At 47.3% G+C, this 12,438-nt stretch overlaps 1 protein-coding gene and 1 long non-coding RNA gene across 2 annotated transcripts in view, besides 2 other annotated features; one reads left to right on the top strand and one right to left on the bottom strand.

Moving 5' to 3' along the window:
- Window positions 1-2,056: 2,056 nt before the first annotated feature.
- Window positions 2,057-12,208, bottom strand: LOC105371735 (uncharacterized). The gene is made up of 4 exons (NR_188344.1): window positions 11,105-12,208; window positions 8,692-8,764; window positions 5,908-6,382; window positions 2,057-4,195 (listed from the first exon to the last, which is right to left on the bottom strand). It is a non-coding gene; the product is annotated as an uncharacterized LOC105371735 (long non-coding RNA).
- Window positions 10,168-10,722: an enhancer, noted in NCBI's record as "H3K27ac-H3K4me1 hESC enhancer chr17:32484104-32484658 (GRCh37/hg19 assembly coordinates)". NCBI's record gives its function as "activates a minimal SCP1, AML or CMV promoter by ChIP-STARR-seq in primed H9 embryonic stem cells {active_cell/tissue: H9 hESC(primed)}" and the evidence as "EXISTENCE:reporter gene assay evidence [ECO:0000049][PMID:30033119]".
- Window positions 11,022-11,180: a silencer, noted in NCBI's record as "fragment chr17:32483646-32483804 (GRCh37/hg19 assembly coordinates)". NCBI's record gives its function as "represses an EF-1alpha promoter that drives an FKBP-Casp9 reporter gene in an ReSE screen in HepG2 liver carcinoma cells {active_cell/tissue: HepG2}" and the evidence as "EXISTENCE:reporter gene assay evidence [ECO:0000049][PMID:32094911]".
- The window catches only part of ASIC2 (acid sensing ion channel subunit 2), a 1,143,682-nt gene continuing 1,142,282 nt past the window's right edge, over window positions 11,039-12,438 (top strand). The window contains exon 1 of the mRNA NM_001094.5: window positions 11,039-11,829. Within this exon, the coding sequence (NP_001085.2) occupies window positions 11,275-11,829 (555 nt within the window). The 5' untranslated portion in view covers window positions 11,039-11,274. The remainder of the gene's footprint in view (window positions 11,830-12,438) is intronic.

Below are 12,438 nucleotides of genomic sequence, written 5' to 3'. Positions count from 1 at the left end.
TTCAAGCTCTATTGGATTATAACTCTTCCCAATAGGACTACATGTATTGTGACTTTAAGTGGAGCCCATGAATGTTTTGGTTTCAGGTGGCAGCCTGTGAATGTTTTCCCAGCAAAGTTAATTAAATGTACCCGACGCTCTCCATGCGCCTTCCCTGTCTCTCACACAGTCAGGCTTGCAATTTCATGTGCTCTCCCTTGATCTATTTTTATACCATCACATAATAATTTATCTGCTAAATATATCCATCATGCTGGATTTGCATTTATTTTTTTATTAAGTTGCCTGCCAGCCTCCTATAGTTTAATCGGTGTTTACTCAACTCTCTGAGTACTGGAGAGTGTAGAATTACAAGACGTGGGCCCAAAGCCAGCCTCTGGTAGCTGCTCTGCTCTGTGACTTGGGGCAATCCCTTTCTGTCAATCCAGGTCTCAGTGTGCTCCTTTATAAAATGGGAGCAGGAGCTACACTGAAGAGTTGTTGTGTGGTTTATGGAAGGTAAGATAGTAAATGCAATATAAACAGCAGGGTTTGCCATTAGAAATGGTTCATCTTTGCATGGGTTTATTGAGTATTACAGAGTCCTTAGCTCCATGCATGCAGAGATAGGCAAAACAGGGAGGACAGTAAGCTTAAGGGCTGTGGAAACAGATTGGCCCTGCTTCCAGCTCCTAGCTATGTGACTTTGGACATATGGTTTAACCTTGTTATGCCTCAGTTTACTGTAAAGTGGAAATGATCATTGTACCTATGTCACTGGTCTATATTAGGATTCATTTAGTGGTTCCCAACTGAGGATGATTTTGTCCCCAGGGGACATTTGACAATGTCTGCAAACATTTTTGGTTGTTGCAATTGGGGAAGGGGGGTGGCGCTGCTGGTGTCTGGTGGATAGAGGCCAAGGGTTCTGTTAAACATCCTACAATGCACAGGACAGCTCCCCACAACAAATAATTATCCAGCCCAAAGTGTCAACAGTGTTAAAGTTGAGAAACTCTCATTAACTAATATAATGCGTATACATTCTTGGCATAGTTATTGGCATATAGCAAGTGTCTACCTTGAAGAATAAAGTTGATTGTGTCTGGAGAGAGTAATAGAATGCCTTAATGCCAGCTACAGCAGTAGGATTGGAAACTGGATGCTAATTCCACTCTCAGTCCCCTGCACACCCAGCTCCATCACAGCCTATTCCCTTGTGCTGACTGTGTGCATGCCAGTCTGGCTCATCCATCTGTCAGCTCCTTGGATGAAAGGCATTAGCCTGATTCCTCTTTGAATCCCTTCTGATGTTTAGTGCTGTGACTAAACAGCATAATGGAGAACACACTCCATTATGGTCAGTGAAATCAATAGCTGCCTTAGAGGTGGTTGGCAGTTTGGTTTGAGGAGTGGTAGAGATATATGGATGTAGGAGTCAATTGCTCAGTAAAGCAGGTGGGGCTCTTATAGGAGGCACTGATGAGGGACTGGGATAAAGAAGCGAATCCTCCAAGAACACTTGGCCTAGGCTGGAGGCTGTTCAGGCTCCAAACCATCACAGAGGATGAAGGAGCAAGAGTTTCTTAATCTCTCCCCTGGGAAGACTCCTGGTACTTCTATGGGACAGAGCCAAGGTGAGTGTTCACAGAACCACCAAGGACTGGACTAGGTCTACAAGGCACTACAGAAGTCATCTGGCTCCTATGTTTGTCTTAGGAGAAACCAGTGGTCCAGCTAAAAACTGGTAGAAGCTGGACCAGAGCCTATGGGAACATGTCTTAATGAACATTACATCCTCACAAGCTAGCAGAGAGCTTGATACACCAGAAATGCTTAGTAAGGTGTAAATGCCTCTAGCAGAGTTTCCTCTCCCATCTCAGGGTAATCAACTGTGAGGGTCCCTTCCTTGTCCCATCAGACCTAGATGGACCCTGGTCCATGAATATTTAAATCCCACTGCTTGTCTGGTAGTCTCACAATCAAACCCTAATTCAAGATCTCAAGTCCACAGGGCATAATAGCTTCATGTCACCTGGGTCTCCTTTAGACAAAAGTAGTGATTATAACAGTGGTATTAATAGTGACATAGTTACTGAACTTTATTAGATACTTATTGGTACTTTACACACTTTAGCTGATCACATCCTCCCATCAGTCTTATGAGGTAGGCACTGTTACTGTTCCCATGTTACCGATGAGCAAACGGAAGTTTAGGCACGTTCAATAGCATGCTTCAAATAACACTGCTGGTGTGGGTGGGCCCAGGCTTTAAACTCACAATCACCTGAACGTCAGCACCAAAACCCTTACCCACAACACTTGACGGCCTTACAGGGTACCTGGGCAGCAGCATGACTCAATGACCCTGAAGCTCATTCCCACACCAGCAGTGACACTGTGGGCAATTTACTTACCGTCTTGAAGCCTTAGTCTCCTTGTCTGAAAAATAGGCAGAATAAACTCACAGGACTGAATGAGATGTTGACTCCCAATACATGTTGATTTTCTTTCTTCCACGGAAATCCAATCTGTACAGAGAACTGAGTAGGACATTTCAATGTCATGTCTCCTGATGTCCCCTAATCCAGAGCTCCCCCAGCAGTATGCACAGACACCGTGCCTTGCCCACCCCCAGGAGTCTCTGGGGACAATGAGGCTGAGTCCCTAATTTCTTGGTATCCTCCCCCATTGCGTTAGCAAAGTGCCCAGACCAAAATTAGGCAATAAATCCTTGCTAAATTGCATGCATAATCAGACACAGAAAAAAGGAACACATATACATATGTATATATAGTATTTATACTTGTATATTACAGAGATAGAGGGAAAAGACACCTCATTCTCACGCCTTCAACCATAAGCTCTAGTTCTCCTCTTTTTTTGCTTTTTAGATGAGACACAGAGGGACACTTGGGGGCTGAAAGGAAGGACCTCCCTGCTAGAGCTGCACGGCCAAGCCCTTCCTTGGTGCTTTCTCTGCTATCTCCAGCTCTCTTGCTTTCTCTTCCCTGGGGCCACATCTTCTGATCATGACCAGTCTAGTGGCATTACCATGCTGCTTCATATGTTGTGGCTCAGTGAGTTGTCTGTGGAGAAACTTGACTAATGAATAATGACAGAGTAGAAAGAATGTGAAATGTTGAGTCGGGAAACCAGGATTTGAGCCCCAGTTCCATTATCTCATCAGGGTCCTTTCACTCTCTGAACCTCAGTTTCCTCTCTCATAACATGGAAACAGTGACCCCTCTTCTGCTTATGGAAATCAAATAGGATCATGCCTACTAAAGAGTTTCACATCAAGTGGGACACAGATAAAAGACATTATGAGTGCCACATCCATGAGATGAAAAGTCCTATGAGAGTAGAGACTATGCTTTTTACCTTTTGTATGTCCCTTTGCAGTGCCTACCACTATAGAGGTGGTATGTAGACACCACATCCCCATGTAGTGCCTACATGTTAAAATACGTGCAATGAATTCATAATAGTATGCATATTGATGCATGGAGAAAGATGAACGTGATCACAAACATAGATGCATTTCTCCTTTTCCCCCTCAATTCTATTTTTCTCTTTTTTATTCCCATTTCATTACTTATATTTCATTTTATTTTATGAAAGAGCTAGGAAATAAATAAAGTGAATTAAAACGAATACACAACTACTTGTATGGGGGTTATGGAAGTCATCAAATGTGAATGGGCACACAAATGAAGTCACTGTGATCTGTACACACTTAAGTATTTTTTAAAAGAGCGAAGAGATGGATAGAGACGGGAGGAGGTGGGGGGCATGGCTAGAAGAAGGTAGGTAGGGTTGATGGTAAAGGAGGCTGTGTAATAAGCACGATGATCAAGGTATGCTGAAATACCACCACTGCCAACCGCTGGTCACCAAAGATCAGAGGCAGCTGTAACCACACGCATAGAACACAAGGGGGAGAGGAAGTTCCACCCGGGAACCAGGCAAGGACAAACTTCTCTAGCGCTGTTCCTCTCTCCCATTTTCTGTAGAGTGTAGCTATGGCCAAGGCGGTGCTGATACAGTTTTGTTGAAAGCCTGTCTGTTGATGGTGGGCTTCAGGGACTCTCTGTGCACTTCTCTTTATTTGTGAAGCAGTTGGCTCCAGAGATTGAGTGACAGGGAGAAAGCAAACAGAGATGGCTTCTTTCTTCTATTTTTCCTTCGCAGGGGAAAGAGGGACAGAAGTAGACTAAAAGAGGAGAACACATACAGACAAAAATAGAAAATAAAAATTATTTAGAGGAAAAAACATCCAGTAGAGGATGAATAGGAAAGGAGTGGCGTGGGGTGGAGTTTCACACCTTTGAGGAAGGGAAATGACACGAAATAAAATCAGAAATCCAAGCCTCCTGCTCCTGGGTACTTTCCTTTACCCATCGGAGAGATTTGAGTCAGGCCTGCTTTGTTTATTTAGGAGAGGACTTTTGTTTCTTTAAACAGAAGTACTGGGTTAAAGGCTCCTCAGGATCAGATGGCTGTGGTCAGGCATGGTCCAGAAGCCCCGCTTTAGACCAGTGGGAGGGGTCAGCCCTTACATGACTAAGGGACTATAGGTAGGTGTGCCTCTTTAAAGCAAACAAAATAAGGGAAAATTAAAAGCTACTGATTTTACACTGAAGGGCGAGGACTCAAATTTCAGACTAATTTTTTGGCTATTAAAAAATGATTTGAGGATAAGGAACAGTTTGGAATTCCTCTTGTGAATTTTATTCCATATTGCACACCAGCATTTACTAAATACCTACTGTAAGTTATTTCTGTATGACATCATTATCCTGTTAGATTGGAAAGTGGAGAGAAGCCGGCATGGGAAGTGCCAAGGTAAGCAGTCCATTTCAAGTTGGAAGCGAAGACAGAATATTTCTTTTGGCCGGGTGCAGTGCCCATGCCTGTGGCCACTGCTTTGGGAGGCTGAGGCAGGAGGATCCCTTGAGGCCAGGAGCTCGAGACAAACCTGGGCAACATAGGGAGAGCCCCCATTTCTACAAAAAAGGTTTTAAAAATTAGCTGGATGTGGTGGCACCTTGTAGTCTCAGCTACTCAGGAGGCTGAGGCAGGAGGAGAGCTTGAGTCCAGAAGTTCAAGACCACAGTGAGCTATGACCATGTCACTGCACTCCAGCCTGAGTGACAGTGTGAGACCCTGTCTCAACAAACAAACAAATGAAAACAATTTTTTAAATAGGGTAGCTAAACAGTATTCAGTTCATACCTAAACTCAACTTTCACCTGCACCTGTGGTTTTGTAGGCGATGGAGCTAAGGAGTACTTGGTCAATAGCACCTTAAGTCAGGAGTTTTAAAATCAGGTAACTCAGCCAAGATTCTCTGGGTGCACAGATTCCTCTTGGCCCCCTGCACTGACTCAGGCTCCAGTGAGGTCTTCCCTGGGTGCTGGGGGTAACAATAGACAGGGTTGAGAGGTAGGAGGTGCCTCTCACCTGCCTCAGGAATCAGGCTCAGGGCAGGCCCCAGGTTCCCCAGGATTAGAAGAAGGTTCCCCATTCTTTCATCTCAGAGAGGGAGCCTCAGCATCAGAGCTGAATGAATTCACTCGTGTTCATTTGTTCATGAATTCTTGTATTTCTGAGCATCTCTCATATGCTTCAATCCTGGGGATATGGCTTCTAACAAGCCAGGCAGGGTCTCTGCCCCCAGGTGGAGACTTACATTCTGGTAGGACCAACAGATAGTTCACAAGGAAATGAGATGAATTGCAGAAAATGATTAGTACTGGGTAGAAAAGGAAACTTGTAATGGAATAGTGAGCATGGTGGAGGGTGGAGATAGGGAGACCAGCCAAGATCTCTGTGGGGCCGTGACACAGAAGAAGCCAGCTGCAAGGAACTCTCCAGGCAGAGGAAAATGCAAGTTATGAAACTCCGCAAACCGACCCAGCATACCTGATGCATAGGAGGAACTCCTCATCAGGTCTGGTCCTGGGTGGGTTCCTAGAGCTGCCCTCAATAACCCCGTCAAGGAAGAGAGCCTTTGCAGGCCCCACCCCAGAGATGCTGAGTCAGCAGAGGTGGGGAAGCAGGAATCAGCAGTTTAACAAGTGTTGGGTGATTAGAATTCACCTAGCCCTGCCATCAAACTGCTGGAGCAGATGGTGACATGGGGTTAATGACCAGAATCCCAGATTCAAACTCATTTTATCCCATTAACTGGGAGTTAATGATTTGGTCAAGTCTTGTCAAATTGCAGCAGGAGGAGGAGGCCTCAGGAATGATTGAGCACAAATGAAAAAACAGCACAGAGATGTTCCAAGGTTTCCTGAAGCCACAAAGCAACACGAGTTCACTCTGGGGTTCAGGTCAATCGGCAGCTGGGAGCCCCAGAGGTCCACTCAGTGTGGACTAGTTCTGTAGGTTTTGCCTGGAAAGAAAAAAGAAAACCAGCTATAGACAAAATCTCAGTAAACTACCCATTAAACGTCTGGCTTTGCTTCACATCCTTCCCTGGTATACCTGTCATGACAAATTACTTGCTAAGTGTTCACCAGCTGACTAAATGGGAATACGTGTTGTATGAGGCGTTTATTTATAAACCAACCAACAGCAAAGAGATGCTTTGGTTTTACAATAGTTGATCTTTAACCCTTCTTTATGGGAATGACAAATCAGAGGGAAAAGTTGTATTTTGAGATCACCGAGTTTCAAATTATAATGTCATCTGTTTATTAGCAAAGAATGATTTTTCCCCTTTAATGAGCAGGTGGTGGCCATGGCATGTACCTAGCACATGTTAAGTAGCAAATTAGCATTCGAGCTGAGCTGATTGTAGATCTCAGTTTCCTTAACTCTCCTGCCTGTTACTCTTTGCAGAGGCAGGAGGCTGCACCCTGAGCTTCTAACCCTCCCCAGAAACCAGGCTCAGGACTGGCCTTAGGTTCCCCAGGGTTAGAAGAGGGTCCCCCTCCTTGCGTCTCAGAGTAGCAATTTCAGGGTCATAGAAAGTTAATTAATTCCTGACTTCATTCATAAGTGAATAAATTTGCCACAGCAGAAATATGGGCATGTGGTCTAATAGGGGGTTAAACTGCCTGATTTGCAAATGAGTTTGTCTGAAAAGTTCTTTAATGTCTTGTCATACACTTCACCAAAAAGACCATAATTATACACAATTAGGTCAATGCTTACAAATCTGGGCCAAATTGACCCACTCTAAAACCAATCTCTGTTACCACTAGTGCCAAGCAAATAGGTATTGTAAACCTGATTGAAGAGGGGAATGCTTAACCAACTGAATAACACAAAAGCATTTTTAAGAATGATAGAATATCTGATGCCTTTATGTAAACCATACTGCTAACTGCGAGTGAGTATTATCAATTAAAGAGTGTTTTTAAGAAGATATGTGGAAACGTTTTATTAGCCATCAAGTTGAATTGCTACATGTGATAGAAAATGTTATAGCAGTATTTCTTAAAGAATATTCTATAATTCAGTTCCTGTTCAAGACTGTTGCCATCATGGTCTGTGCTATTGAGGTCTCGTTGAAGCATTTCTATTGAGTTTGTGGACCACACCCTTCAGACTCAGACACACTTGGGTTTGACATTTAAGCCCTCTGCCACTTTTCAGCTGAGGGACCCTGGGCAAGTTAGCTTTTTTCTCTGTACTCAGCTTTCTCATCTGTAAAATGGGCTTGGCAATACCCTCCTCTCAGAGTTACTGATAATGTCCGCCAAATGTCAAGCACAGAGCCAAGTGCCCGGCTGTGAAATGCACCATTAGAGCTATTCTCTTCTAGTCCCCCCTTCCCACCCTAAATCGCCTCACCCTCTTGGAAAGCTTTAGTCAAGAGCTGCTTCAGAAGACCTTGAGAAGACCTTAAGGCCATGGACAGGAAGCAGAGTAGTGTGAGGAGTGTGTTTGACACTGGCCTACAGGAAGGGATGGTGACACTAACAGGTAAACACTGCTCTGGGCAAATGATGTCTTCTAGAGCTATAAATGGTTCTCCAATCACCTGTAAGAGAGTGCCAACATCAAAAACGAATGTTCTCTTCGTAGTCATCAAGAGAAAGTGTCAATTGCTAAGTGTCTAAATTGTACCAGACACTTTATAATCTATATCTCGTTTCATTTGCACAAAAGTTCTGTGAGGCAGGCATTCTAAGCTCCATCATTTTGGAGGTGGGGAAACTGAAGTTCAGAGAAGTTTAGTCACTTCCCCCAAGGTCACAGAGCATCACGTTATGTTTGTAATCCTCAAAACAAACAAATGGCGAAGGGTAGAGGTAAGCAGTCAAAGAGTCTAAATGGGAAAGGAGCAATTAGAGCAACTCTGAGACCCATCTCGGCACACATGAGAAAACATGTCTGGGACACGAACTGAGAGAAAATATGATCCTGTGAAAAGAAGAGGCTTCATGGGGAAAACAGATCTGGGCTGCTGGGGAGGAGGGCGGAACACAGCCTGGGAGAGGGCTGGAGGTGGAAGGAACATGAACAGATATGGAGCAGCATGATTTCCAGCTGGGCAGTGCTAATCCCAGGAACCCATGAGCCATGTTGCTTCTCTCGCTATCCACACCATGGAGCAGGGACTTGTGTGTGTACCTATCTCTCTGCCTCCTCCCCCGCTGATCCTTGAGTTATCAAAGGCAGGACATGTATCTCATTTACTTTTGTTTCCCCAAAACCATACAGTGCCTGGTATAGAGTTAGAGGCCAACATACCTATTAAACAGGTGGATGAGCTGAAGATTAGCAGATTAATCCAGGAAGTCTTCCTGTAGGAGAGGGCCTGGAGCTGGGGAAAAAAAAAAAGGACAACAGAGATGTGGTGTGGTAGAAAAAAAGGCATAGAGATGTTTAATACAAGTGAGGAACTGATGTGTGTGTGTGTGTGTGTGTGTGTGTGTGTGTAATCAGGGACAAAGCATAGAAAGGACTGCTCCTTTCCTAAATTTGGGAAGAAGTGTTCCGGATCTGCTTTAACAACTTGCATTTTGGAGACAAATATGCCTGAGTTCAAGTCCCACCTCTGACACCACTAACTGTAACTTGGACACAGCACTTTACTTTTGTGAGCCCCAGCTTCCTCACCTGTACAATAGGGATAATAACAAGAACATGTACCTGTCAAGATAGTTAAGAGGGATAAGTAAGATGATATGACACCCTCACACAGGTCCTGACACATGGTAGACCTTTGTTAATTTTGGTCCTCCTGCTTTAAAAACCTGTGTCCTATCCTAGGAGTCCAGGACCTCTTGGTTAACGAATATGTGAAGTTTATCAATCTTTGCCATTGTGCTTGCTTGTGATGCTTCTGTTCTCTGAGCTCCCAGGATCAATAAACCACTGATTTAATGCTACAGGTTGCTTCAGAGTGCACCTGGATGTTTTTGTCAGTGGACCTAGTTTAGCAGGGGTCCAGATGGAATGAAAACATATTTCAGAGTAGAGCTAAACCTAGAGGGACGTGCCCTCAGCTGCCTTCTTTTCCAACATTGTCCAAGGAGTATGATTTAAGCCTGGAAAGCCCTGAAGATGAGAGCTTGGCTCATCAAGGTGACTCCATGTGGCTCTGCCCCAGCTTGGCAGTGTGGCTTGGGATGGCCACTCAGACTTTCTGTTCCCTTCCTTCTGATGGGAATTTAGCACCATTGATTCAGTAGGTTCTAGCCATTTGAGCTCTGGCATGGGCCAATAGGGCGAGCCACACTCACCTGCTAGCAGGAGCTGACTGCCAGTGGAGTTTCAGGAAAAAAGAGGTAGGCAGCGGAAAGGCTAATTCTTTGCTCCCACCTATAGTTCCGGCTGTACTTCCATCTGACAAATCCAGGATCAGAATACACACACACACACACACACACACACACACACACACTGCCCAAATGTACTTCCATCTGACAAATCCAGGATCAGAATACACACACACACACACACACACACACACACACACACACACACACACACTGCCCAAATGGAATGGTATGCAGCCAGTCCCACCTGGAGTCCCAGTTGCCTTTCTCTTTCAAATACAGACTCTCCCGACAGCTATGTGGCGGTGGGGGAGGCGACTACTTGTTGCTCCTTCTCTGAGGCTCCAGGGGCAACTTGGCTTTTCTGTCTCAGGAGGGGCTCCTGGCTGCTCTCCTAGAATGCCCCCTCGCTGTCTGCATCAGAGGCACTGTGGGTTTGGATCGCCCCCTTCCTTCTGCATTTTTAGCATTCTCCCCTCTGGAGATCCCAGGCTGGGTCTAACCTGGGATCCCTGACATTGATGCAAAGGAATGCCGCCTCCAACCTCACACCTGGCTCCTAGGAGTTTAGCACTGTCTTCCTGCCACCTGGGGGGCGGGGTGTCATGTCAACCCTCGAAGAAGCCCCCACTAGCTACCTTCAAAAAAGGCTAAAAAGAAAACTTGGAGAAAGTCCCCAGCCCCCACCAGCCCTTCTCCCCCGCCCTGCCCTTCCCCCCAAGGCAGCCTAGCAGGGACAGGGAGCTGGGGCGGGGGAAGCAGGCAGGCTTTGTGACCTGGGGGTTGTCCCTTTTTTCCCAGGAGGCGAGGAGAGAATGGATCCCGGTCTGAGCTCCCCGCTTCCGTCCCCAGTCTCCAGATACCGGTCCTCGCCTCTCCGCGCCGCGCGCTGCCTCCTCTCCCCGGTGCTAGCAGCGGCCGCTGGCATTTGGAATTCTGCCCACAAAAGGGGGCCTGGAGGAGGAGGAGAGGAGGGACGGAGGCCGGCGGCGAGAAACGGCATTCGGAGTCCAAAACATCATGGGAAAAGGAACCGAGCGGCGGCGGCTCTGAAGGCTGTGCCGCTGCGCCCGACCGCAGTGCATCAGCGTGGCCGCCCTGACATCCCCCAGGATGGTTAACATGGGGCATTATGCGCTGGTTAACAGGCTCCGAGCTGCTCAGCGACTTGTTTTAAGCATTTTCTCTCTCGCTCTCGCTTTTAATCTTGTCTCTAGTGGCGTGTGTAGGGGGGAGGACTTTATTTCCATTGGCTAAGCTCTCCCTTCCCACCCACATCTCTTCCACATCACCTTGGTGTCTCCCTAAATAAAACCAGCCCTCCTTATCGCCTGGAAAAAATCAAGAGCTAGAGTTTGAATGGGTTTTATATAAACACTCACCCCTGTCAGCGTGCGGCTGGGCTCTCAGGATAAACTCACAGCATCTGGCGCGATGCTTGCCTTGCGTTCTCTCCCCTGAACGTCAAGGTTTAAGCAGAGCCCGAGGACTGGGAGCTCTTCTCTGAAATTCGATCAACCTGAAGCCAGTTGCGGAACTGCACGGGGTCCCGATGGACCTCAAGGAAAGCCCCAGTGAGGGCAGCCTGCAACCTTCTAGCATCCAGATCTTTGCCAACACCTCCACCCTCCATGGCATCCGCCACATCTTCGTGTATGGGCCGCTGACCATCCGGCGTGTGCTGTGGGCAGTGGCCTTCGTGGGCTCTCTGGGCCTGCTGCTGGTGGAGAGCTCTGAGAGGGTGTCCTACTACTTCTCCTACCAGCATGTCACTAAGGTGGACGAAGTGGTGGCTCAAAGCCTGGTCTTCCCAGCTGTGACCCTCTGTAACCTGAATGGCTTCCGGTTCTCCAGGCTCACCACCAATGACCTGTACCATGCTGGGGAGCTGCTGGCCCTGCTGGATGTCAACCTGCAGATCCCGGACCCCCATCTGGCTGACCCCTCCGTGCTGGAGGCCCTGCGGCAGAAGGCCAACTTCAAGCACTACAAACCCAAGCAGTTCAGCATGCTGGAGTTCCTGCACCGTGTGGGCCATGACCTGAAGGATATGATGCTCTACTGCAAGTTCAAAGGGCAGGAGTGCGGCCACCAAGACTTCACCACAGTGAGTACTTGGTTTTCAGCTCACTCTGTCTGGTCCTCTGGAGAAGTGGTGCGCCGGTGGTCTCCTGCTTGGTTTGGGGTTTCCTTGTGCTTTGGGACAGGAGAGAGAGCAGTGCCTCACCTGAAGGCCACGAGGGTAGTTGGTCAGAGTTGTGCGAGCTGGTTGCAGGGAAGGCTACCGGCCAGGATAGAGCACTGCTGTCAGATCAAATATGGAGGGTGAGTGGGGGGCTTGCGGTGGGGGATCACTTCCCCAGACGTGCTCAGTTGGCTTCCTCCCAGTCAGAGGGAGGAGGCCTGGGCTGTCCGTTGTCCGGTCCGCTTGGTGTCCGAGCTGTGTGATTGGAACAGCTTGTCATTGACGAGGTGGCATTCTGTGTGTGTGTGCGTGTGCGTGTGCGTGTGTGTCTCTCTCTGCTCGGAAGTGGCATCAGGCACTGCATCCTGTGGGCTGGGCTGGAGCTAAAGCCGTCAGAGAAGGGGGTGTGGGGCCCAGGCAGTCTGGCTGGCTCCGGTGGCTTTGGGAGCTTGCTGGAGCAGGTGATGCTGCAGAGGTGTGGAAGTCTCCTTGCTTCCTTTCCTTGTGTGAATTCTAAGCTCCATGTGGGGA

The sequence above is a fragment of the Homo sapiens genome, chromosome 17 (genome assembly GCF_000001405.40).
Source record: "Homo sapiens chromosome 17, GRCh38.p14 Primary Assembly".
Classification (NCBI taxonomy): domain Eukaryota; kingdom Metazoa; phylum Chordata; class Mammalia; order Primates; family Hominidae; genus Homo; species Homo sapiens.
The sequence above is the reverse complement of the archived record's forward strand: the minus strand, read 5'-3'. Positions and strand labels throughout refer to the sequence as shown.